General features: G+C 55.2%; 1 protein-coding gene and 1 long non-coding RNA gene across 7 annotated transcripts in view, besides 1 other annotated feature; both read right to left on the minus strand.

The window, feature by feature from the left end:
- ZFYVE28 (zinc finger FYVE-type containing 28) overlaps positions 1-25,745 on the minus strand; it is a 149,049-nt gene that overhangs the window by 82,001 nt on the left and 41,303 nt on the right. For 3 of the 6 annotated variants that reach the window (NM_001172656.2, NM_020972.3, NM_001172657.2), the window contains exon 2: positions 2,336-2,476. The exons of 1 other annotated variant lie outside the window; for it this stretch is intronic. In NM_001172656.2, the coding sequence (NP_001166127.1) occupies positions 2,336-2,476 (141 nt within the window). Of the gene's footprint in view, positions 1-2,335; positions 2,477-12,888; positions 13,218-25,745 lie in introns of those variants that run through there. 2 more of the 6 variants (NM_001172659.2, NM_001172660.3) reach the window with 1 other exon arrangement.
- Positions 13,180-13,249: a silencer, noted in NCBI's record as "silent region_15165". NCBI's record gives its function as "represses an Ori minimal core promoter by ATAC-STARR-seq in GM12878 lymphoblastoid cells {active_cell/tissue: GM12878}" and the evidence as "EXISTENCE:reporter gene assay evidence [ECO:0000049][PMID:35858748]".
- Positions 16,438-22,847, minus strand: LOC107986249 (uncharacterized). The gene is made up of 2 exons (XR_001741550.2): positions 22,755-22,847; positions 16,438-21,568 (listed from the first exon to the last, which is right to left on the minus strand). It is a non-coding gene; the product is annotated as an uncharacterized LOC107986249 (long non-coding RNA).

Genomic DNA, 25,745 nt, shown 5'->3' on the forward strand with positions numbered 1-25,745 from the left:
CAGCTACTCAGGAGGCTAAGGCAGGAGAATCGCTTGAACCTGGGAGGTGGAGGTTGCAGTGAGCCGAGATCGTATGACTGCACTCCAGCCTGGGCGAGAGAGTGAGACCCCACAGGGTGAGGGCTCAGTCCCACAAGACGGCGCCCCTTCAGATGCTGATCCCAAGTCCAGGCATGGTCTGTGCTTCTGTCCAGCTGGCTGTAAACTGGGGCTCCCATGGCCCCCTTCTGGGGTTGGATTAATTTGTAGAGTGGCTCGCAGAACTCAGGGAAACACTTCGTTTATGGTTCTGGCTTATTTTTAAAAATTGACATGTAATAGCAATACCACTTATAATGTCATAAAAAGACATGAAATACAATTATCCCTCAGTACACGCAGGGGACAGGTTCCAGGACCCCCAGCGTATATCATATCTGCACATACTCAAGTCCCACGGCTGGACCAGCGGAACTTGCACAGCCCTCCATATATGTGGGTTTTGTGTCCTGAGAATACTGTATTTTAGATCCAAGTTAGGTTGAAACAATGCATGTATAAATGGACCTGTGCAGTTCAAACCATGTTGTTCAATGTCCAGCTGTGCTGGGCGTAAGGTGGGCCCTGTGAGATGCCCTCAGGGAGCTGGGAGGAACACCGGGGAGCACACCTGGATCTGCGGGGAGGAGAAGCTGAGAGCCTCCCCTGGGGGTGCTCAGCACAGACATGGAGCAGGATGAGGCCGCCATGTCGGGGGGTGGACAGGAAGAGGCCAAGGACTGGGCGTGGGACCCACATGGAGGAGGCTGGGGGAGGAAGGGGAGATAGGAGGAGGGAGGAAGAGGGGGAGGCGTGGAAGAGGGAAGAAGGGTCACAAAGGAGCCAGTGGGATACGAGATGAGCCAGAGGCAGGGCCCTGGAGCGGAGTGGACAGAAGTGAGCCCGAATCAGATGATGCTGAGGGACCTGGACAGTGTCCACACCCTCTCAGTTCCTTCAAAGACCCCAGCAGCAAGGAGAAGAACCTGAGTGTTTAAGGCCTTCACTATGCTGGGAGCATCCCCCTCCAGATCCTTCTCACAGGGCAGTTCTCACGGTGATACATCCCAATTAAAGCCTGTGGCAGCGGGAAGCCTGAGAAGGGGCCACCTAGCTTGGCAGCCCCCACCTCTCAAACTCACTTAAAACCAGGCTTTATCATCAACTCTGTCAGTCAACAAAAAAGCACACAGGTCACAGAGCATGTAAAGGGAACAGAGCCCCTCCCCAAAGGTTGCCATGAGGAATAGCATCTGATCCCCCTTCCTCATCGGTGGGGCCACGGGGCAGGTCTAGCACCTCTCCTCCGTGGCACTTTCCTCCTCCAGGCTCCAGGGCCCCCAGCACCTGTCCCCTGGGCAGAAGGTCTTTCTAACCTGAGCTCCTGGGGGCAGGGACTCTCCCCACCCACAGAGGCTGTCCCTGGAGGGGCCAGAACATCTGTGGGAACATCTGAACACATGGAAGGTGGAGGCTGCCACTGAACAGCCCAAAAAAGAGCCCAGAGCCTGATCCGGCCAGAAAAGTTGTCCTGGCCACACACAGGGCCCTAATGCTGCTGAGTTCCCACCGCAGCAGGGCCAGGCCCAGAGCCAGGGCTGGGGTGCAGCCAGCTTGGCCACTTTGCAGGAGCCCCACAGGGTGGGACCCTCAGGACCACGGTGACACAGTGATAGACTCCCCCCTGTTGGAGGAGCATGTGTCAGGCCCCACCTCCCATGGCCGCAAGGATTCAGCAAGACCCTGTGGGAAGAGTACACCAAGAACATTCCGGAACTTTGTGAAAACCCCTCGTCATCACTTGATAAAACTTTGCAGCATGCCGTTTGCCGTTGTGTTGGAAATGCCTCTGAGTGCTTGGTGTACTGGGAAGAAAACCTCGGCCAGGGTATTTTTAGCGGCAGCTTCCAGGGCCATCTGTCAATTATGCAGCAGATGCTGGCAGCACCATTAGTCAGTGGCAGAGTGTGACCACTGCATGGTACCCAAGCTCTGCACCAGCACCTGGGCAGGCCCACCCCTCCCACACTGGCTGCCCCTTGGCTCAGAAGCCTGCTCACTCCGCACCCCCTGCCCCCGCTCTCCCAGCCTCTGCTCCCCCAAGTGTCCCGTGCGGTTTCTCACTTCCAGCCCGGCTACCCACCCCACGCATCCTGCCCGGGATGGTCCCTCTTCCTGGGCCTGGCTTCTCTAGCACCCGACCCTGACAACGCCACCACAGGGGGCCAGCAGGTGACAAAGCCTTGGTCTACTGAGGACAGGCCACTCTGTCCAATGCCCAGCGGGGCCAGCCAGCTTCTGCTGCCCCGTGGCTCACCTGACAGGAGCGGAACTGGCTGACCAGCAGCGTGCACCGCTGGGGGTCCTTCCGCCCATCCAGGCTGTCCAGCTCCGCGGCCACCTGGTTCAGCTCCTCGTCGGCATAGTAGAACCGGGCAAGCAGCTGCGGATCCGACCTCTGCAGGAGAGAGGGGCCAGGGCCATGAGTGGGTGGGGAACTGGAGGGGATGCCTCGGTTGGTTGCCTTGTCCCCAGGCCATGTGTGGGCTCAGCCTGGGACCTTCCACCCTGAGCAGCAGCCGGCTCTTTTATCAGCTTTCCACACCAGGATCTAGAGGGAAACAACTAAAGCTGAGGCTCAGGCTGCCAGCTCAACCCCTGATTCAAGGGTCCCCAGGGCCCCTGCATTTCACCCCAGGACTGTGGGGAATCCAGATCCTTTGCTGCACCCCAGACACAAGGTCCTCACGCTCCCTCTGGTGGAGAGCCCACAGAAAAGGGGCTCTGGGAAGAGTGGGGTCCCCGGCGCTCCAGGCGACAAAAGCAGCTCTCAGGAAATTTTTTTTTTTTTTTTTTTTTTGAGATGGAGTTTCACTCTTGTTGCACAGGCTGGAGTGCAATGGCACGATCCCAACTCACTGCAACCTCCGCCTCCTGGGTTCAAGCGATTCTACTGTCTCAGCCTCCCCAGTAACTGGGATTATAGGTGCCCGCTGTCATGCCTGGATAATTTTTGTATTTTTAGTAGAGACGGGGTTTCGCCATATTGGCCAGGCTAGTCTCGAACTCCTGACCTCAGGTGATCCACGCGCCTCAGCCTCCCAAAGTGCTGGGATTACAAACATGAGCCACTGTGCCCGGCCAGGAAATATTTTTTTATTCACAAAACCAAAATATGAAGTGGCCCAGAATAACAATAAAATTTACTACACTTAAGTGAAGAATGATTGACAGTGCATCATAAACCATTTCCCATGATTCAGAAACAATTTGCCACACACCCCCCACTTCTCTAGGAACTTCACAGCATCTCAGTTTCCACACCAGTGCACTGTGGCAGGAAACTCTACGCTCAGAGGTTCCCCTCCCACCAAACACGCAGGGGCTCAGAAGCTGGTCTTCAACTGCAACCACCACACGCCCCAACCCCGCCTGGCCTCCTTGGTGCTCTACGCACACAGCACGGCCACCGTCCCTTGGCACGTGAGGTTCCCACTGCCCCAGGATGCAAACAGCTTGTTCCCCTGGATCAGAGTTTCGAGGATTCAAAGAAGCCCCTTACAAAAGTGATGAAGTCCTTGAAAATATATATATATATATATATATATATATATATATATATATATATATATATATATATATATATATATATATATAATGATTCTTCTTTTTTTTTTTTTTTTTGAGACAGAGTCTCACTCTGTCGCCCAGGCTGGAGTGCAGTGGCGTGATCTTAGTTGACTGCAACCTCTGCCTCCTGGGTTCAAGCGATTCTCCTGCCTCAGCCTCCCGAATAGCTGGGATTATAGGCATCCATCACCACGCCCGGCCAATTTTTGTATTTTCTGTAGAGATGGGGTTTTACTATGTTGGCCAGGCTGCTCTCAAACTCCTGACCTCGTGATCCACCCGCCTCAGCCTTCCAAAGTGCTGGGATTACAGGCCTGAGCCACTGTGCCCAGCCTATATACGTATTTTTTGAGACAGGGTCTCACTCTGTTGCCCAGGCTGGAGTACAGTGGCATGAGCATGGCTCACTGCAACCTCCGCCTCCTGGGCTCAAGAGATCCTCCTGCCTCAGCCTCCCAAGTAGCTGAGACTATAGGCACACATCACTATATTCAGCTAATTTTAAATTTTTTCTAGAGATGGGGTCTCCCTGTGTTGCCCAGCCTGGTCTTGAACTCCTGGCCTGAAGCCATCCTCCCACCTTGGCCTCCCAAAGTTGCGGAGATTATAGAAGTGAGTCACTGTGCCTGGCCTGAACCTATTTTTATAAAAAGGACTCTTTATAATCACAGAGAGAAAGACAGAGGAGAGGAGAATATACCAAATCGCGCACAGTTCGAATGCGCTGGCCGTGTTCCCCACAGACTCCCATCTCCGTCGGGGCCGTTTCCTCCGTGTGCTCTGGCCTGCCACCCCTCCCCTCTGTGTGGCCTTGGCCAGGGTCACTTTGTCCTGACTCTTTCCTGGCCCTCCAGTCCTCACTCTCTGGATCAGCTCAAGACACTGGCCCAGACCCCTGGGGTGGGGAGAGCAAACCCCAGTGAGGCTGAGCAGACCCACACGAGGCCATCCACTGCCCCCCTGCCTGGGCTCCAGCGACGGCTGCATGCACCTGAGACCTGGGCAGCCAATGGGAAGCCTTCCCTGGGACTGTTCACAGGAGGCTGACGGAGCCTCTGCACCCACTCGCTCTCCGGCAGATGCTGCCTGAGCAACCACTCTGCTAGGAGCCGATCTGGACCTGGGACACAGCCCAGAGCAAGACAGACCCAGACCCCGCCCCCCCGGCAGTTGGTGTGCCCGCCCCCTCCCCGGCCGTTGATGTGCCTGCCCCCCCGGCCGTTGGTGTGCTCACAGATGCCAGAGACACAGAGATGGACGGTGGGCACTGGCTGCCATCTGCTCCCACCCTCTCAGCACCACTGCTGTGTCCCTGCACTTTGTGCCTTTCTGGAAGTAAACACATTCCCTCCATGGGCCCAGGCAACCCCGGAGAGCCACAAGGTCGCAGTCGCCCAGCGACCCCTCCGTGATGAAATGGGAAGAAGAGTGGGGTTGGGAGGCAGGAGACACTCTTAACCTTGTTCCTGCTCTACTGCGTGGAAGGAGAGGAGGGGAGGCGGGGAAAGTGAGGCCCAAAAGGCCCCTCCTGGCCCTTCCCCAAGGCCCGAGCCCCAGGGAGTGCTGCACTTTCGAAGCCTTGTAGCTGTCAACTTACAGATGAGCAACTGGGCCCTTGACCTTTGCTTCAGATGCAAAGGTCATTTTTTTTGAGACGGAGTCTCACTCTGCTGTCCAGGCTGGAGTACACTCTGCTGCCCAGGCTGGTGTGATCTCAGCTCACTGCAACCTCCACCTCCCAGGCTCAAGCAATCATCCCATCTCAGCCTCCCAAGTAGCTGGGATTACAGGTGTAATCCCACCACCACATCCAGCTAATTTTTGTATTTTTAGTAGAGACAGGGTTTCACTGTGTTGCCTGGGCTGGTCTCGAGCTCCTGACCTCAAATGATCCATCCGCCTCGGCCTCCCAAAGTGCTGGGATTACAGGCGTGAGCCACCGCACCCAGCGCAGTCCCCAGAATTCTGACCTTGCTTATGGGGTGACCGCCAGCTTCCCCTCCCCTAGAATTCTGACCCAGCTTCTGGGGTGGCCACCAGCTTGCTCACCTGGGCCCGGGACCTGCCAATGCCCCTCCTCGCTCCCAAGGAAGAGGGGAAGAGCCAAGAACAGCACCTTCCTACCAGAGGGCAGAGGAGCCTTCCTGCCACTTCCTGAACCAGGAGGGAGCATGGCCCCTTTTCGGGGTGGGGCTGAGCTCGCAGCCTGCCCAAGGCCTGCATGAGACCCGCTGGGCCTGACACCCACCTCAGGCATTAGTCCAGGTCAGCAGAGCCACCAGCTCCCTTATGGCCCCAAACCTGCCCGCTCCCCTTCAGAGCAGTAGGTATGGGAGGGTGGGAGAAGCAGGGGCCTGGTGTGGATGGTCCCACAGCAGACACCTGGCTGTGACTGAGGTGGCCCGGAGCCCTCACAGTCCCTCTCCACGTGTGTCCCGCAGCCCTGACTGCAGCTCGCTGACGAGACACCATCTGGCCCAGCAAACAGGCCAGGTACTGAATTTAGGGCACTGGATGACAACACCTCCTGGAAGCTAAATCTCGGCTCTGAGAAAGAGGACACGAGCAGGGGCCACGCAGAGACCCCCAGAAAGGAACCCAGAATCATTCTCTGCCCTGGCACCAAAAACCTCACAACACTAGTGCAAGGAGTTCCCAGCAACGCCAGGTCAACACGGGCCCCTCGCTGCTTGGTAAGCGGAGGAGACGGCTCAGCCACAACGCAGGTGCATGAAAGGCTGATGGCAGCGTGGTGCTGGCACACAAAGCCCCAGTCATCACACAAAGCCCCGGACCAAAGAGGGGACTGAGCCTCTGAGCAAAGAATGGGGTACTTGCATGTCCCCTCGGCTCACTCACACACTTCCTCTCCTGTGCTCTGGAGAGGCCAAGAACCACCGCCGTGTGTGTGCAAGTATGTACATGTACACACATGCACCTGTCCATGGCTGTGTGCGTGTGAATCTGTGCGTTGTGCATAAGTGTGTACATGCATGTGCGTCCATGTATCTGTGTGCATGTGAATATATGTGCAGGCATGGATGTGCATGCGTGTGTGCATGTGAGACCAGTGCAGCAAGTGTCAAGATGAGCTCCCACAGGGGTGACATGCCTGTCTACTTGGCAGGGAAAATGCTAGAAACGGGCGCTCATCACCAAAATAAAAGGCATGGGAGGTAGGGAACCCTTCAGGGACGGGCCTGATACTTGACCCCTCCTGGCCCTGCCTCCAGTTAGCGGGGATGCTTGGTGCCCTGCAGGGAAGCCGACTCCCACCTGCAGAAGGCAGCCTGTGTGCCTCAGGGCTCCCTGCCTTCCTCTTGGGGCAGCTGAAGCCTCTGAATGGTCTCCCATGGAGCTGAGGTGTTACTGAGCACAGACTGCCCTGCCAGGCCTGCTCACTGGTGGGGTGGGCCTGGTGGGGTTGGATGAGGCAGATTTGCTGTGTGACCTTATCATGGGCTAAACTGTGACCACACCCCCCAAATTCAAACATTGAAGTCCTAACCCCCAGGACTCAGAATGTCAGAATGTGACTGTGTTTGGAAACAGTATCTCCCCCACTTTTTTTTTTGAGACAGGGTCTTGCTCTATCCCCCAGGCTAGAGTGCAGCGGTGTGATCACAGCTCACTGCAACCTCCGCCTCCTGGGTTCAAGTGATCCTCCCACCTCAGCCTCCTGAGTAGCTAGGAAGACAGGTGGGTGCCACTATGGCCAGCCAATTTTTTCTTTTTTTTTTTTTTTTTGAGACAGAGTCTCGCTCTGTCGCCCAGGCTGGAGTGCAGTGGTGCAATCTCAGCTCACTGCAAGCTCAGCCTCCCGGGTTCACACCATTCTCCTGCCTCAGCCTCCCAAGTAGCTGGGACTACAGGCGCCCACCACCAGGCCCGGCTAATTTTTTTTTTTTTGTATTTTTAGTAGAGATGGGGTTTCATCGTGTCAGCCAGGATGGTCTCGATCACCTGACTTCATGATCTGCCTGACTTAGCCTCCCAAAGTTCTGGGATTACAGGGGTGAGCCACCGTGCCCAGCCAAGGCCAGCCAATTTTTGTATTTTTTGTAGAGACGGGGTCTTGCCATGTTGCCCGGGCTGGTCTGGAACTCCTGGGCTCAAGCGATTCATCTGCCTCTGCCTCCTAAAGTACTGGGATTACAGGCATAAGCCATCTAGCCCAGCCCAGAGATAGGATATTTAAAGAGGTCATTAAGGTTAAATGAGGTCATCAGGGCGGGCCCTAATCCAATATACCTGGTGTCCTTATAAGAAGAGGAAATATGGACACAGGCAGGTAGAGGGCCGACTTTGTGGGGACAATGGCCAAAGGCGGTGTCTGCAAGCCAAGGAGAGACCCAGCCTCAGAGGGACCCAGCCCTGCCACGCAGTAGTCTGGGACTTTTGGCCTCCAGGACTGAGAGAAAATACATTCCTACCGTTCCGGCTACCGAGTCTGGAGTCCTTTGTTGCGGCCGCCTGACCTGTGTGGAAGGCCCAGAAGCAGGCTGGGGAGCCAACCCTTGGCCAGACCCCTCCATGCTGCAGTGCCATGCAGGAGGGCCTGGGAGCCCTGACATCCACTTAGCAAACCCTGCCAGGTAACCCTCCTCCAAGGTAAAACCTCAAATCTGTGGGCCTGTACAACTCTGAGGAAGCTGCTCTTGGGGTGGGCTCAAGCTTCCCTGAAAGACCCTGGGGACCCCCATCCACCTGGAAGGACAGCCCCCTCGGGCCCTGGACCTGAGCCTCGGAGCCTTTACCCACCCCGGACAAGCGCACGGCGTCTACAACAACCTGCGAGGCCATTTGTGGTTCTCTGTGATTTGAGGAGGCCTCCATGATGTCTAGGGGCCATGGGCTCTGACGGTATAATTGCCTGCGCGTGGGAAAGGGGCATCCTGAACAGCGTGTCCAAAGCCATTGCCCCCGAGAACAGGGAAGCTCCGAGTGTCTTCACGACCACGAGGAACAACACTCACCACACCCCGCCCCACACCATGCCATGACGGGCACCACAGTCACACTGCTGACTTGGCATCAGTGCCCACAAGCAAATACCCTGCCGCTGTACCTTGATTTCAGTAAATTAAAGACCTTAAAACCAGACCTACAAAGGTGTTGACCATCTGCAAAAAGAGAGCTGTAATCACACACACACACACACACACACACACACACACACACAGGCACGCACGCACACACAGAAACCCCGTGCTATTTGAAAAGCTGAGTTAGCCCCTGAGCTAGCGTCCCGGCCATTCAGGACCAGTATTTCAGAGGAAGAGGCCAAGTTTCCCACATGGTCCCAGCAGTGCCTGGGGCGGGAGCAGGAGGGGTCTTTATTCATTGTGTCAGTCATCCCACCCAGACCCCTCACTGTGAGCAGACACCTTCAGGCAGGGGTCCCAGGAAATGAATGAACACAGCTTACAAAATTCAGTCTATCCTGATTAACAGAATCCAGAAGAAAATTTGGGGTACTAAATTTCCATTTCTAAGTATGCAGAGTATAAAGCAAACAATTATAATCTCAACCTACTCATCACTTAGTGTTAAATCTGTCCAGCACGACGGGGCTCACCCTCAAGTGAGCCTGCGGGCCCGACAGATAAATGGGGAGGGGCGGTTAATGTTCCATCACTGACAAAGCATCTCCCTTTGATTTGAATCCACCAGCTTTATTCAATGACATTTTACAATTTCATTTTAAATTCAGTTTTTAAATGTCCTTAAATACAATGTCCACAATAAAGGGAATCAATTGATATAAATAGGAAGTACTCACTTGTTAAAATTTTTGAAATAAAAATTGTAAAAGAATAAATTAGAACCTAGTAGGAAGCTCTTTTAAAATCACACTACATCAATATTTTCTCAAAGATAAATTTTCTCAAAGATAAACAGTGAAAGTGTTCACTGTTAAAAGGAGTCAAACCCGTAAAGAAGGCATTTCGTTCACGGGGTCAGATGACTACTGAACGGACATCCTCAAAAAAAGCAGGAGAAAATATGCACGAACAAAGCAGCTCTCGGTTCAAAAAATACAAGGATGGACTGACTCTGGGCTAATTTTGTAAAGCTGATTAAACTGTTAATTCATTCGAGCCCCTGGTCCCTAATGTGAGCTGTGGCTGCAGGTGGGAGGTGCGGGTTGGAGGCACGTGCAGGGAGAGAGACGCGGTGCGCACGTGTGAGCTCAGCCCGTCTGACCCACGTGTGATGACCCTGCAGTGTTTCCCAGCAGTTACGAGGGCTGGCCACCGGGCTCAGAGTTTACACGCACTACCCCACCCACTGGGGCAGGCCCCAGCCACCTTGAGGCCCAGGAGGGCTGGGGCTCCAAGCCCTGCACAGGGCACGGAAGCACAGCCCATCACACCACGCCTTCCACCCAGACAAGGAGACTGACACTCCTGAAGGTAACTCATGGCCAAGACCACATCGCTGGATGCCAAGGCGCCAGATCTCAGCCCAGGTGTCACTAGGACTCTCTGGCATCTATGTGCGGTAAGGGGGTAAGGGCCCAGGACTGGATCCCTTTCACACTCTTGTTTGCCAAATATGACATAAATCCTGCAGGTGGGGACCTTAAAGAGACACCTTGTCACTCCAGGGCAGCAGCATCACAGTCTTGGCCGAGCTGCGGCAGGGAGGATGGGAGCAGGCAGGTGGCGGGACAGATGGGAGGACAGGCAGCACAGCCAGGCCAGAGAGGACCAGCCCCGCCCCATGGGCCCCAACAAGGGACGGAAGCCCAGTCCAGCTCCTACTGCCTCCCTCCCCACACAGCTGAACCCAGGACATAAGCTGGGCTCTAAGCTCCAGTTCCCAAGACAGACCACCCCAGGCAGCCAGCTCCCTACCCCTACAGCCCCCACACTCAGCCGTGGAGACCCAGGTGTGTTTGCCTCCTAGATATCAGCAGATCTCCAGGAGACAGTGGTCACATGCAGACTTCAGCTGGACAGAGGCTGGAGCATGCAGGGGTGAGGACCAGGTGTCTGAGGCACCGCCTGGGCCTCTCCAGGGCCAGCTTTCCATTAAAGCCTGGGACTTCTCGCTCCAGCACCAGGAATCCAAGAGCATCGCAAAGAAGCCAGGGAAGAGCCTCTGCCTGGGACACACAAATGCGGCCCCACAGCTGTGACCCCCACAGCAGCTGTTCCTCAGCCCTCACCATGACCAACTAATGGCCGAGCAAGCCCCTCCACCCCTCCACCACTGGGGCTAGAATTGTTCACTGCTGCCAATCACAGGCCCAGCCCCTCCTGCACATGCCCAACCCCTCCTGTCCGCACTGAGGCCAGACGTCCATGGGCAGCCATGACCCATGTCCCCAAGGCAGGCCTCATCCACAGCAGACACCCCAGGGGCTGCCAGGCTGGGGGCCCACTGACCTGGCAGCACCACCAGCCACCGGCAGCAGATCTGGGGCCCCAGACAGGCACACACTCCTGTGGTCCCAGGCACAGCCGTGCTGCCACACCCACCCCAATGTTACTATTGTTGCTACTGTCTCCCTCCCCATCCATCTGTCCCCTTTCTCTGCCCTCCTCTGGGGTCAGGGAGCTGCAGTGGGCACGCTGGGTCAGCAGGAGGCCTGGCAGGGAGTGAGGATGGGACGGTCCTGCTCACTTCCTGCCTTGGCCTCCTGCGGACCCCACCCACCCCTGCTCTCTCTCAGGACTCGGTACTGGCCCTCCCTGTGGCCTTCGGGCCCACACGTGGCACCAAGCCCTGGGCTCATCACCATCCCCGTGGTCCCCTCAACCCCATTACATGGTGAGTGTCCCCAGCACAGCCTGACCAGGGAACTGCTGAGACTGCTGGCTACTTCCTCCGAGACTCAGAAGACCCTGGCAGTTCTAGGGCTTGGTGGGTGGGGGCTGGACACAGTTTAATCCCTCATATGACCGTTGACCGGTCACCTGTGAGAGTGGCATATATGTCACCCAGCTCAGGTCACCTGTGGGAGTGGCATAGCTCAGATAATCCCTGCAGGAATGTTCTCCAGGGGGCCTGGGATCAACCCAGCACTCCCAGCTTTCTTGCTTGCTGGTAGAACGTGCTGAGGACGCGGCATCCAGAGATAGGGAGGGACTGCCCAGAACAGCCTGGAACTTGTCCTTGACCCTCCCAGGGACTGTAACAGCTTGAGTTAGGGAGGAACCGCCTGGGCTTTGCTTCTTTCTCCCTGGAAGCAGGGTGTCCTTCAAAGCTTTGCCCTGGGGGTCACGTGGTCCCTGAGGGCTCTAACCTGCGGCTGCTTGCAGGGCCCTTTAGCCCTGGTGCAAAGAGAAGCATGTGCAGTCAGCAATCCATCTGCCCTGGGCAGCCTTCCCGACACTGGGGACTGGCTCTGTCCCTTGCTTCCTATCTGTAAGTAATCAACCTGTGTTGCGTAACTTGTATGTGAGCATGTAGGTCACCAGCGCATGGAGGACTAAACAGTAGCCCAGGATGCAGTGCCCACAGGCAGAAGTTCCTGGTATTTGGCTATGACGATCTTTGCTGTTCTCCACGAAGTAGGAGTCTTCTCTTGGGACTGGTAATTAGCGAATCTGCTTTGAAGTCCCCACCACCCCAGAGGAGGTAAGGGGCTGTTCCCCAATTTACAGAGGGAAGAACCAAGGCTCAGAGAGGTTCACAAATCCACCCAAGATCCCACTTCCAATAAGCAATGAGGCCTGCATTTCAAAGCCACTCACCCTGCCTGACGGTGGAAGACTTATCCTGTGACCCGGTTTCCCTGCTTGCTCCTGCTAGGTAATAAGGGTGAAAACAGCACAAAGCCACCACCGATGTTGGTGCCACAGCCCCAGGGCAGGCGCTGTGCCCTGTGAAGGGAAGGCCTCCCCAGGCCTCAGGTCACAGCTCCAGGCTCACTGTGGCCTTCTGGCCCAGTGGGGCACAGGGTGCCTGACGCCAGCTGGGAAGGTGTTGCCTGGTGTGGCACCTGGGACAGCCTGCACATCAACTCTGCCCACCCGGCCTGGCTGCAGACCAGGGCTCGGTGCTGAGCCCCCAGTCCCACCTACCCCCTGCAGGTGCCTGTGGGTGGACAGCCAGCCCCACACAGTCCTCCAGCCTGACCTGGAACCACAGGTGTTGTGGGGCCAGCCAGGCCACTGAACGCCCTGCCCGCCCCAAGGGCACAGCCCCCCACCTCTCCAAGCCCTTCAAAGCAAACTGCCAGGAAAGGCTGGCAGCTTTACGTTCAATTCACATCAATAAGTACTTTACCCAGAGGGTGGCTGTGCCTGTTTAGAGGAATCCTCCACAGCCCAGACGCAACAGGAGCCACGTGGGAAGGGAATTTAGACGGTCGGCACTGGGCACAGACGCCCGGGTGGGCTCCAGGTTCTTGGCCGCCTGTCCCCTCTGATTAGCATCTGCAAAGTGGGCTTAAGGACGCAGAGAACCCGCTTAGCCTGGACAAGCCCTTAGCACCTCGCGTCTCGCCGTCAGGGGTGACAGTGGTGGACGCAGGTGATGAGCATAACGTTGTGCATTCCCGCCGCCGCGCCCTCGTCAAGGCGCCCACGGCCTCCGAGCGGGTGACTGGGAATGGCGGGGGCTGTGTTCCGCGATACCGCGATAAAACCCCCACGTCGCCGCGGCAAAGTCGCGAGAGTACCGTGGACCCCGGAAGAGGCGGCGCGGAGGGACAGTGGAGGCGGGGGCGGGGCCCAGCAGGGGCGGCGCAGCCTCAGCCACAGAGCCGGGGTGTCCCGGGCGCACGCGGGGGTCACTCCCTAGGCGTCAGGCCCCGCACGCGGAAGTGGGGGAGGGAGGTGGAGGGGGGCGGTCCAGGCTGAAGGGCGAGCAGTGGAGCTGGGCCACCCCGCAGGCAGTGGGCAGCGGGCAGCGTGGGGAGAGAGGGGCCAGGTGTCCCTGAATGCGGCGGGGGGACGGGGAGGGGGCAGGGGAGGCGCGGGCGGCAGGGGTCAGGGTCTCCACATCTCCCCGGGTGGGCCACGCGGGGTTCGAGAGCGCAGTGCGCGGAGGCCACAGGCAGCAACCGGGACAGCAGGGGACAAGGGCGTGAGGAGGGGCCGCGCGGCGCCTGTCACTCGAGCCTGGAGCGCTGCCTCTGGGCCCGCACGTGCACTCACAAAGGGCGTGTCCCCCCCAACTACCTGCACGCAGCAGGGGCCTCTCAGTGCACGCAGGGTAATAAGGGTAACAACAACGCCAGCCTCCCCAGGGTCTGCGCCAGTCACCCAGGCCCACCTTCCCACCTGCAGAAATGCCCCCGGCCCTGCCTCCCTGGCCCACAGACTCTCTCCTGTCCCTTCTTCAGGTCCACTCCCAAATCTCCCACCCTTTGGTGGGAGCCCTGAGCCCTGGCCCAACCTGGGGGCAAAGGCTCCCGCTCCGGCCTGGGTGGAACAGCTCGCCCCACTCATGCTGGAAGACGGCCAGCACTGGCTGGGCCTGGGTTCTGTGCCTGGAGCTGGGCTACACGGGGAGGACGTCTCCCAGGCCCTCCAGCTCGCCCTCAGCTGGACTTTGGGTTTTCAAGCTCTGAGAGTCACCCCTGATACCAGAAGGCCCCAACTGGACCACCTGCAGAATAAATTCTGAAGGAAAAGGGAGCACACAAGCACGCATGTTTGTTTTCCAGGCCCTGAGGTTCAGACACTGGGGACTGGGGGCTCCCCTCTACCTACAGGAGGGGTGGAGGTGGCAGAGCACGGCCCCTGCCCCCTAAGGGCAAGGTGAAGGCTGACCCATGTGACCTGCTCGTAGGAAGCCAGGGCAAGATACAGCCGGCCTCACTGTGAACTCAGGTGGCCCAGCGCAGCTCCCCCAGCGCAGCCAGTGAAGGAAGGACCCTGAGGCTGAATGTGGATGTCCCCAGGAGGCCACCTCTCAAAGAGACTTCTGGGGGGAGTGCGACGCAGAATTACAGCACCCAGTTATTCCAGCAAAAAACATAGGCGTGAACTCTACACGCACCAAAAACATTCACGTGTACATTCTGAGATGGAATTTTTAACCTCACTAAATTTTTATTTAAAATGCTTTTACAGCTGTTACCAGTGCTCATGTTTCATAAGAACCTGCTTATGCAAAGCTGCACGTGGGCCTCCCTCAGAAGCAAGCCCAGGCCTCTGCAGTTTCCCAGATGGTCTGGTAAATCAGTGCCCTGGGAAGCTTTAGATTGGGGGACTGGTTTAGACACCCCAACAAATCAGTTCCCTGCACCTGCTGTCTCACCAAGCAGCACCCGTCTCCCGGCCAAGTTGCTCTCACTTGCAGCAGAAGCCACAGCCAGCTCGGAGGGGCAGGTGAAGGGTGGAAGAGCTGGCAGCCTTCCCCACAGCCATCGTCTACTCAGCTCAGTGGAGTGTTCAGTGGCCCCAGAGAAAACCCTCCAATGGCAGAGGGTAGAGTTCCACGCAGCTAGAGGCCTCTGCCCCTTGGGGCATGGCAAAGGGCCCCTTTATCACCTCAGTGTAGTCTCTGATGTGGAAACAGACCCCCTCCCACCCACAGAAGGAGATGCTCCCCAGAAGCCGGACCCTGGCTCTAGGAAGAGGCTGGGTTGGCCCCCTGAGGATGAGGCATCCCCTATCATGCAAAGACATCCTCCTTACAGGAGAAACAGCTGGGCACGGCGCCACGCAAACCCCAGGTGATAATGCTGGCCTTGACCGTGGCATTTGTTCTGCAAGCCAAGCCAGACGCAAAGCTGGGAGATAATTGCAAATCTAGCAAAGCGTTTTCAAAGGGAAAATGAATTTTCAAATCAAATTCTGTCAAGTACTGCCTATACAAATGATGTGCCAAGAACACCGACTGCAGAAAATTTAACCACGGTAGCTGCAGTGGGATCATAAAGAAACGAATGAACTGCACAGCCTCTCTGTCGCTGCCGAGGAGGAGAATGGGTGGTGAGAGCGCTCCAGAGGGAAGGGTGCTGCGTGACCAAATGGAATCAGCCTGTATCTGACAGCTGGGCATTTAAACTGCCAGAGATCTCATTTTGAACTCCACAGGTTTAAAGATTCTTTAAAATGCATTTTAATTTTAAAACTATTAAATAGCAAACTTGCTAGGAAGACAATCAATTCCATTCCCACTGTGCTAGCAGGGTGCCCCCGGGGTGTCCCCCGCTCAAGCCCCCCGTTGCAGGGGCTGAGCCTCAGGCTCTGCCTGGCTGAGGGCAGCTCAAGAAACTCTGAAAGGGTGGTGGGGATGGGGGAACGCAGTCCGGTCAACTCCTAGGATGCATGGAAATTTGCTTGTGGAAAATGGAAACTTAAGCTGCTTATTTGTGAATTATTTCTCTCCTTCAAAAATGATTTGAGGTGATTTGCTAAGAGCTCACAAGAACTGGGCTTGTTCCTTTAATCAGAGGAGCAATTCAAACACCCAGACAGGGGTCCAAGGTTGTGGGCCAAGAGAACCCCACAGTGGGCAGTGGGGCCACAACAGCCGGCCCAGGATGCTCTGGCCTTTGCTTTGTTGGCTCAGGCCTGGGGGGCCATGGGTATCCCACACTCCTGGGCACACTGGAAGCCATACTCAAGGAGGCCTCACCAGCCCAGGCAGGTGGACTGATGCTCAGTCCTGGACCAGCTCCCCTTGAAGGACCTAACGGACTTAAGACACCCAGGGTGGTTGCTCCTCTAATCACGGAGCCCCTGACTCTGACCCAACATGCCAGGTGCCCTCCCCTTACCCAGGGCGACTTGGTGCGTGCCAGTCGCGGCAGGTCTGTGTCCAGGTAGCTCCAGCCAGCAGAGACAAGCCCAGGCTCTGCTGCCCAAAAGAGAGCAATCATTGCTTTCTGAAACTGTTTTATTGAGATGGGACTCACATGCCATAAAATTCTACCAAAATGTGCAATTCAAAGGCCAGGCACGATGGCACTTTGGTGCTTTGGGAGGCTGAGGTGGGAGGAGCACTTGAGGCCAGGAGTTCAAGGCCAGCCTGGGCAACAAAGCAACACATCTCTACAAAAAAAAAAAAAAAAAAACACTGTATCTACACACAAAAGATTAGCCAGGTGTGGTGGTCTGCACCTGTAGTCTCAGCTACTCAGGAGGCTGAAGCGGGAAGATCGCTTGAGCCCGGGAGGTGGAAGTTAGAGTGAGCTGAGATCATACCACTGCACTCCAGCCTGGGTGACAGCGTGAGACCCTGCCTCTACAGTATGCGATTCAGCAGTTTTAGGGTATTCTCAGAGCTGTGCAACCATCACATGATCTAGTTCCAGAACATTTTCATCACCTCCGGAAGAAACCACACCTGTTAGCAGTCATCCCCCTACCCCTTCATCGACTTTATCTCTGGATTTGCATGTCTGGACATTTCCTGTGCATAGAATCATACGAAATGGGGCATTTTGTGTCTGTTACTGTCACAGAGCAGTGTTTTCAAGGTTCATCCACATTACAGCATAAATCGGTGCTTCCTGTGTGCCACTGTGTGGATGGACAGACCACATTTTGTTTATCCAGGCATCTGTCGATGAACACTTGCACTGCTCCCACCTTTTGGCTACTATGAATAGTGCTGCTATAAGCAAGTTTTTGTGGGGACATATGTTTTCAGCTCTCTGGGTATATATCTAGAAGTGAAATTCTTGGGCCATATGGCACTTCTGTGTTTAACTTTTTGAGCAACTGCCAGGCTACTTTCCAAAGAGGCTGCACCATTCAACAATCATAGAGCAGCAGTTGGTGTGGCAGGGCTCTGATTTCCCTATGTCTTCGCCAACACTTGTTATTATCTGACTTTTGAGTTCTAACCACCCTGGTGGCTGTGAAGTGGCCGCTCACTGTGGTTTTGACTCTCATTTTCCCAATGGCTGATGACACTGGGCACCCTTCATTGCTGGCTGACCACCTGCACATCTTCTCTGGAGACCATACACTAAGGGCAGGTGGTGCTTAGAGGGGCATCCCTGCCATCCTTCCTCCTGGTGACATCTGTGAGTCAAGGGTGTGGAACGCCGCACTCTGTGGACTGACCAGATCTGCTTTCTCACATCAGAGCAATCTAGGCCAGGCTGTTCCATCTGGTGAGACAAGGGTCCCCCCTGCCACAGCCACAGGACCCCACCAAAGCCATGGGCAAGTGTGGACTGGGCAATGTGGCACCTTTGTTGTGATTAGGACCTAATTTGCCATAAAGAGAGGCCCTTGAGTAAGGAAAAGGTGCCCCCAGAGCCTACTCTGGGACCTCAGACATGGTTCCTACCCACCCACAGTGGGTCAAATGGTGGTCCCCTTGAAGCATGTCTGGAATGTGTGAATATGACTGTTTTTGGAAAAACGGTTGTTGCAGATGAAAGAGAGGTAAGAATCTCAACCTGAGACCATCCTGGACTCTCTGGGTGGGCCCTAAACCCAGTGACAGGTGGCCTTAGAGAAGGTGAAAGGCACACAGAGGAGAATGCCATGTGAAGATGGGGCGGAGATCGGTGTGACGGGCCTGTAAGAAACCCCAAGGACAGCCGGCAACACCGGGAGCTGGAGAAGGCAAGGAGCGACCCTCCCTCAGAGCCCCCAAAAGAAACCAGTGCTGCCCACACCACGACCTCAGACTTCTGGTCTCCAGAACTTTGAAAGAAGGGATTTTTTTTTTTCTTTTCTTTTTTTTTTTTTTTTTTTGAGACAGAGTCTCGCTCTGTCACCAGGCTGGAGTGCAGTGGCGTGATCTCGGCTCACTGCAACCTCCGCCTCCCGGGTTCAAGCAATTCTCCTGCCTCAGCCTCCCGAGCAGGTGGGATTACAGGAGTGCATCACCAAGCTCGACTAATTTTTGTACTCTTAATAGAGACGGGTTTCACCATGTTGGCCAGGATGGTCTTGATCTCCTGATCTCGTGATCCGCCCGCCTTAGCCTTCCGAAGTGCTGGGATTACAGGTGTGAACCAACACGCCCGGCCGATTTTTGTTGTTTTAAGCACCCCACTGTGTGCGACTTGGTCACAGCAGCCATACAGAATGAAGATGCCCCTCTCCCACAGCACCACGATTACCTGATGTCCCACAGCGGAGAGAAGGGGATTTGCCTGGTCCTGTGTCATCAGGGGCACTGAGAAACCCCATGTCAGTGCGTTTATCCTATGGATCGGCCCTGACCATCACTCGGCCTGAGCCCCCTGGACACACCTGGAGTCAGCAGAGCTGGCCGAGCTGCCCAGCCCATGGATGGGGTGCCCTGGGCCCACACCCCAGCTCACACTTGGGGGTAGGGATTCCCTAAGTGCCCCCAGTGCCTCTAAGAATAGCCATCACCCCACATTCTGGGAGATCTCTTTCGACAAATCTTCCCCCCGTGCAGGTGGGACACCGGCAGGACAGAGGTAGCCCTGGACCCAATCCTGCCGGCCCAGGGCCCAGAGCCCACCAGTGAGATGCAGAGATGGGGCCAGAGGGAGCACCCACCATCCTGGGCATCACTGTACCGGGAGAGGGGTGTCTCCCATGCCTGCTGCCACCCCCACCTCTCGGCTCCCCGGACGTGGCAAGGCCATGGGACCACCTGCAGTGGGCCAGTCTGGGGCGCCAGATTGCACACCACATCCCTCGCCGGCCACCCCTCCTGCCCACACTGTGATGCTGGGCGCCTCTCTGACTGCCCTCAGGAGGGATGGGCACCCAACCCTGCCACGTCCATGTGGGTCACGTGTGTCTCGGATCTTCCTGTGTAATGCAGCATTCCAGGTGCTTCCACTGAGAAGACACGGTGCCCACTGTCCACCACGAAGACCCCCAGGGAAGAGGACCCAGGCCTGGGGTGAACGTGGACGCAGCATGTGGGGCGCAGCCCGAGTCTGGCTCTTCTTCTTGACCAGTTGTTAGGTTTCGGGCCCCGCTCCTTAGGAGAAGTTGCAGGTGGGCGACTTGGAGCTGGAGAGAAGATGGGGAGCTCACGTGGGGGCTGAGTGGGGAAGCAAGCAGACAGGGGATGGGGTGACCACAGGAAAGGGCAAAGCCGCCTGGACACATGGACTCAGCCAGCACCTGGCGGGGCTGATTTGTGTGGTTGCCCGCGTCGTGCTCCCTGGCACATTCTTCTTTTGTACTGTGGTTATTGCTGAAATAATCAAATAATGCAAATACAACTTAGAAGCATTTGACTTATAAAGGTGCCCGCCACTAACAGATGATTAAGACGATTCCATCATTCTTTAAAAATAGCTGTCCTAAAGGAACGCCTGCTCTCACCAATGTGTCATTTTATCAGAGGATAAAAATTATTTGCAAAATAGTCCAGTGAGAGCCTGTACTTTATTTTTATGCATTATGAGAGGAAAAATATTGACGATGTTCCAGAGGCTTGACATATGGCAGGAAAAAGCCAAACGGGTATTCACTCAAGAAAAGCCAGGATAGTATCTGCAGAAAAGTAACTCAGGCACAGGGGCTCCCGGCAGGGCAAAAAACAGACAAACAAACAAACAAAAAACAGAAAACAAAAGAGTACAAAGACTCCCTTCAACAATAGCAGGCAAATAATTAAACCTCTTCAGTGTCTTTAAGGGCTAAAGCCAAACTGGAAAAGACACAGTCTGGCCACTAAGGCTGGCCTGGGAAGGCCACGCTGCGGGTTCAGTCCTAACCCAGCAAACAGCTGGCAGCCCGCCCCCCACCCAGCGTGAGAAGCCGGCCTCGGCGGCAACAGGATGAAGGTTGGGCTCCAGGGCCGTGAGCTGATGGCCGTGTGTCCCCAGGATCCAGGGCTGGACAGCCACACAGGAGCAGCCTAGAGGCACAGACCCCAACTATGACAGTGATGGAGCTGGGGGCTGGCAGGGGTGCAAGGCCATGCACGAGCCTCAGGTCAGCCCAGTGGAAGCCTGGAGGGGCGTGCAGCGTGTGGCCGGTTCTGGTGCGCATGGCCCATGTGGACATCTGTCAGAACTGGGGAGCGGGGAGGAGGGCAAATGTTTTGTTTGCTGTTACCTATTCCCGTGACCAACAGGACCCAAAGGACCTTCCAGAGAACCAGAGGTTTCCATCCTAGAAGGATGGTGGCGGGGCTGAGTCTGGTTCCGAGAAGGACTCGTGAGGGGGTAGGAATGGTCCCACCACCCTCACAGGAACACAGAGGCGTGTCTTCACAGCCCTACGCTGCCTCCCCAGCCCTTCCATCGCCGCCTCCTGCCACCACCGCTCCCGCCATCCTCCTTCTAGTCCTCAGCATGCCCAGCAGGTTCCAGTGCTGGGTCTTTGGCCTCAAGGTTCACCCAACACCTGACTCACCCGATTCGGGTCTCTGCCTGGACGTCACCATCATCGAGGCCTCCTAGCCCCTCCAGCACGGCACCATGCCCTATCACCCCATCATGTGGGAGGGGTACACAGAGGTGCGGGCAGGCAGGGGTGCTGGGGTTCTGAACAGGGCCTGGATTCTGGGAAGGGACCTGATGAGGGAGGGCCTGCGGCTGGGCACGGGTGGGCACTGGCTGTCACTCCCTCCGCAGAGGCAGGGGCAGGCACTCCAGGGCTTCGCTGATTGTGTCAGTTAAACTCCGAGGGTTGGGGCTCATGATGGCAGAGCCAGCTGCCTCCCTGGACCAAGGATGCTGCACACCCCTAAGACCTAGCCTCCCCGAGGCCTCTCCCCATGGCTGACTCACTGCAGCCTGGACCCAGTCCCTACCCAGGGGCCCTCCTAGCACCCCCAGCCTCTCTGCCAGCCAACCTTGGACGACTAGGGAGGGAAAAACCACCGCATGCCCACCAGAAGACCACCACGTCTCTGGGCAGACACTCGGGGTACCCTTACCCTATGCCTGAGCCAGCCTCTACCCCCACAGCCACCCCCACCACAGGGACAGAAGGCTCAAGAATGCAGTGGCAGACAGACAGCATTCACCAGTCACCCAAAGTTGAATGAGATGATCCACTTCAGCTATGCTCAGACCTTCTTAGAGAGTGACCATGTCTGATAGGGCCTGTGAAATACAAAATGACTTTTAAATAATTTTTTATTATAAAAAGTATGAGCTGGGTGCTGTGGCTCGTGCCTGTAATCCCAGCACCTTGAGAGGCTGAGGTGGGAGAATTGCTCAAGCCCAGGAGTTCAAGACCAGCCTGGGCAACATAGTGAGACCTACATCTCTACAAAAAATTTAAAAATTAGCTGACTGTGGTGGCATGCACCTGTAGTCCCAGCTACTCGGGAGGCTGAAGTGGGAAGACTGCTTGAGCCCCAGAGGTTAAGGCAACATTGAGCCATGATCACGCCACTGCCACTGCACTCCAGCCTGGGCAACAGTGTGAGACCCTGTCTCAAAAAAATAATTTTAAGTATGGAAGTTCTGAAAAATGTAAAAGAAAAACAGTGTTTCCTGGAGCTGAAACACTGTCAACATCTTGGTCTTCTGCCTGTGTGAACCTGAGAACACATCGATCCATTCTTAATTGTCTCAAACCTTCAAGCAGGGGCTCTAGAACCCATGCAGTGGCAAACATGCACTCGTATGCCCTGGCAGAATCTCCGTTCCCCACGGAGCCCCTCAAATGCACTGATGTGTTCAGCTCATTCTAAAAGCTAGAGATGATGTGAGCAGCATACCACACGGTTTTAGTATATGATAAAACAGCAGCACAGAGCACATGCCACGCCTCTCCACTTTCAAAACCCAAAAAGTAGGGGAACGCACAGGGATTCCTGCCCAGGCCCTCCCTGTCATGCCCCAAGCCCTGCCTCCCTGTGTCCTCTCTCCTCAGCACCGCCCCCCATCTCTCCCAGCCCCTGGCTCTGCCTTTGCTACCTCATCCCAGCCAGTCCTGACCTTGGCCCTGACTGCCTGATCCACCAAGATGGGCTTCATCCAACCCATGGGTCTCCAAGAGCTCCTCACTCTGAACAGCAAAAGGTAATGTTTTTACTCTAAAATCATGATGTGTGCATGGTCACATACAGCCCACCATGTCCGTAGGTGCAGCCCTTCCAATCTAGAAAAAGCTCAGGGGCAGCCAGAGTGCAAGTACACGGAAAAAACCAGAACCCATGCAGAGATCTCTCTCAAAAATAATAACGTGTTTTCAACTAGTGTTGTTAGAAGCTGAAGGCTGTTAGTACAAGGACAGATGTCAGTCAGAATCCTGTTTCAGGCCAGGCATGGTGGCTCACACCTGTAATCCCAGAATTTTGGACGGCCAAGGCGGGAGGATTGTTTGAGTCCAGGAGCTCGAGACCAGCCTGTACAACACAGTGAGACCTCATCTCTATAAAAAAAAACAAAAATTAGCTGGATGTAATAATGCACACCTGTAGTCCCAGCCACTAGGGAGGCTGAGGTGGGAGGATCACTTGAGCCCAGGCAGGTTGAGGCTGCAGTGAGCTGAGACTGCGCCACTGCACTCCAGCCTGGGCGACAGAGTGAGACCCTGTTTCAAAAGAAGAAAAGAAGAAGAAGGAGAAGGAGAAGGAGGAGGAGGGGGAAAATTGGTTTTTAAGCAAGTATTTGTGTGCTCATATAGAAAAATGCCCACATATCTATGAAAGAAACCTAAACTTTTAAATTGAACTCATATAAACCCCAACATCAGACGCTGTGGCTCCTGCCTCATCTCCCCACCTTTGGGCAGAAACTTGATGTTCTTTCTAGAAAGTTCTTAGGACATATCTTTGTACCCAGCCCCACATGCCACATTCGGCTCCTCCTCGGTGGGTTTGTGGCTCAGCAGCATGTGATGACCATGTCCCCTGTTGGCACCTGGTGCCCGTGGATAAGGACAGAGCCCAGTCCTCCTGTGGAAGACCCTGAGGTTCCAGACAGAATCCTCCTAAGTCCTTGTCTTTCTCTACTGCTTATGAAAGTGTAAACTCAGATGATATGAACAGCAGTTCAGACCTCCAGTACAAAGCTCTGAAAGTGCCGTGGCCTTTCCCAGGCACTGGCCCCTGGGCTCACGTCCCCTTCCCTCCCTGCTGCTGTGGCAAAATGCGGAGCCACCGTGGCTTTTCCAAGAAAGCTTTTCCCCGCAGCCTCGGGGAAGGTGGCTTTCTCTTCTTATCCTCAAGCCCTCTTTTTACAGGAAAATGTTATAATTAAGTCATTCCAACTGATTTTAAGCAACTTTGCATCAGTAGGGGGTTAAGTTCTAACAAGGCCCAAATCACCCAGGGTCAATCAGCCGGGCCAGCATCGAAGGAGGCCCCGGTACCTCCCCAAGGGTTCTGCCGGGCTCTTCCCCCTGCTGGACAGCAGTGGCTCACACTGTGACCCCCAGATAAAGTCACGACTTGGTGACCAAACTGAATGAATCCACACCCAGCCAGGTGCTGGCTCATGCCCACTGACAAGAATGAGCAGCGGCTGAGCTCACTGCATTTGCTTGTGCTAAAGGACGGTGTGAGGAGGTAGCTTGCCCCACACACTAACCCCTCAACTCCTCCATGGACCAGGAGGAGAGGAAACGACGTGGCGCCTGCCCTGGGGGCGGGACACAGGACTGTGCCGCCCCCACCTCTTATCACAGGCTGAGAAAGCACCGCCCCACACACAAGGGGCATCCCACTGACAGCCTCCACCCCTCCCTTCTAACCCTACCATGTGGGGCGATTGGAGCCCCAGATTTCAGAGTTCACCATGAATGTGCAAGATCTCATAGTTTTCATATTGATTATATGTTAAAACAATATTCTGGTCAAATAATTTTTTTTTTTTTGAGATGGAGTTTCGCTCTTTTTGCCCAGGCTGGAGTGCAATGGCACAATCTTGGCTCACTGCAACCTCTGCCTCCTGGGTTCAAGTGATTCTCCTGCCTCAGCCTCCCAAGTAGCTGTGATTACAGGCGCCTGCCACCACGCCTGGCTAATTTTTTGTATTTTTAGTAGAGACGAGGTTTCACCATGTTGGCCAGGATGGTCTCAATCTCTTGACTTCGTGATCCGCCCGCCTCGGCCTCCCAAAGTGCTGGGATTACAGGCATGAGCCACCGTGCCTGGCCCCAAATAAAATATTATTAAAATTAATTTCACCTGTTTCTTTTACTTTTTTTTTTTAATGTGGCTACTAGAAAATTTCAAATTGGCCAGGCACAGTGGCTCAGACTTATAATCCCAGCACTTTGGGTGGCTGAGGTGGGAGGATCATTTGAGCCCAGGAGTTTGAGACCAGCCTGGGCAACATAGTGAGACCCTATCTCTAAAAAAAAAAAAAAAAAAAAAAAAAAAGTTTTTAAATTCGCCAGATGTATTAGTCCATTCTCACACTGTTATGAAGAAATACCTGAGACTGGGTAATTTGCAAAGGAAGGGGGTTTAACTGACTCACAGTTCTGCATGGCTGGGGAGGCCTCAGGGAACTTACAACCATGCAGAAGGTACCTCTTCACAGGGCAGCAGGAGAGAGAGTGAGTGCCAGCAGGGGAAATGCCAGACGCTTATAAAACCATCAGATCTCCTGAGAATTCACTCACTGTCATGAGACGAGCATGGGGGGAACTGCCCCCTTGATTCAATTACGTCCCATCAAGTCCCTCCCACGACATGTGGGGATTATGGGATTACAATTCAAGATGAGATTTGGGTGGGGACACAAAGCCAAACCATATCACTGGGTATGGTGACATGACCCTATGGTCCCAGCTACTTGGGAGGCTAAGATGGAAGAATTCCTTGAGCCCAGGAGGTTTAGGCTGCAGTGAGCCAAGATTGCACCACTGTACACCAGCCCAGGCAACAGAGCGAGACCCTGTCTCAAAAAAAATAAATAAATAAAATAAAAGTGTATACGTGTTGCTTGCACCCAAAGCTCTCACATCCTATTTCTATTGGACAGCACTGGTCTAAGACTTTACTTTTTTTTTTTTTCTGAGACGGAGTCTCGCTCTGTCACCCAGGCTGGAGTGCAGTGGCGCGATCTTGGCTCACTGCAAGCTCCACCTCCCGGGTTCACGCCATTCTCCTGCCTCAGCCTCCCGAGTAGCTGGGATTACAGGCGCCCGCTACCACGCCCAGCTAATTTTTTGTATTTTTAGTACAGACAGGGTTTTGCCGTGTTAGCCAGGATGGTCTCGATCTCCTGACCTTGTGATCCGCCCGCCTCGGCCTCCCAAAGTGCTGGAATTACAGGCGTTGAGCCACTGCGCCCGGCCTAGGGCTTTACTTTTATCTCT

This window comes from Homo sapiens, chromosome 4 (assembly GCF_000001405.40).
Source record: "Homo sapiens chromosome 4, GRCh38.p14 Primary Assembly".
NCBI lineage: Eukaryota > Metazoa > Chordata > Mammalia > Primates > Hominidae > Homo > Homo sapiens.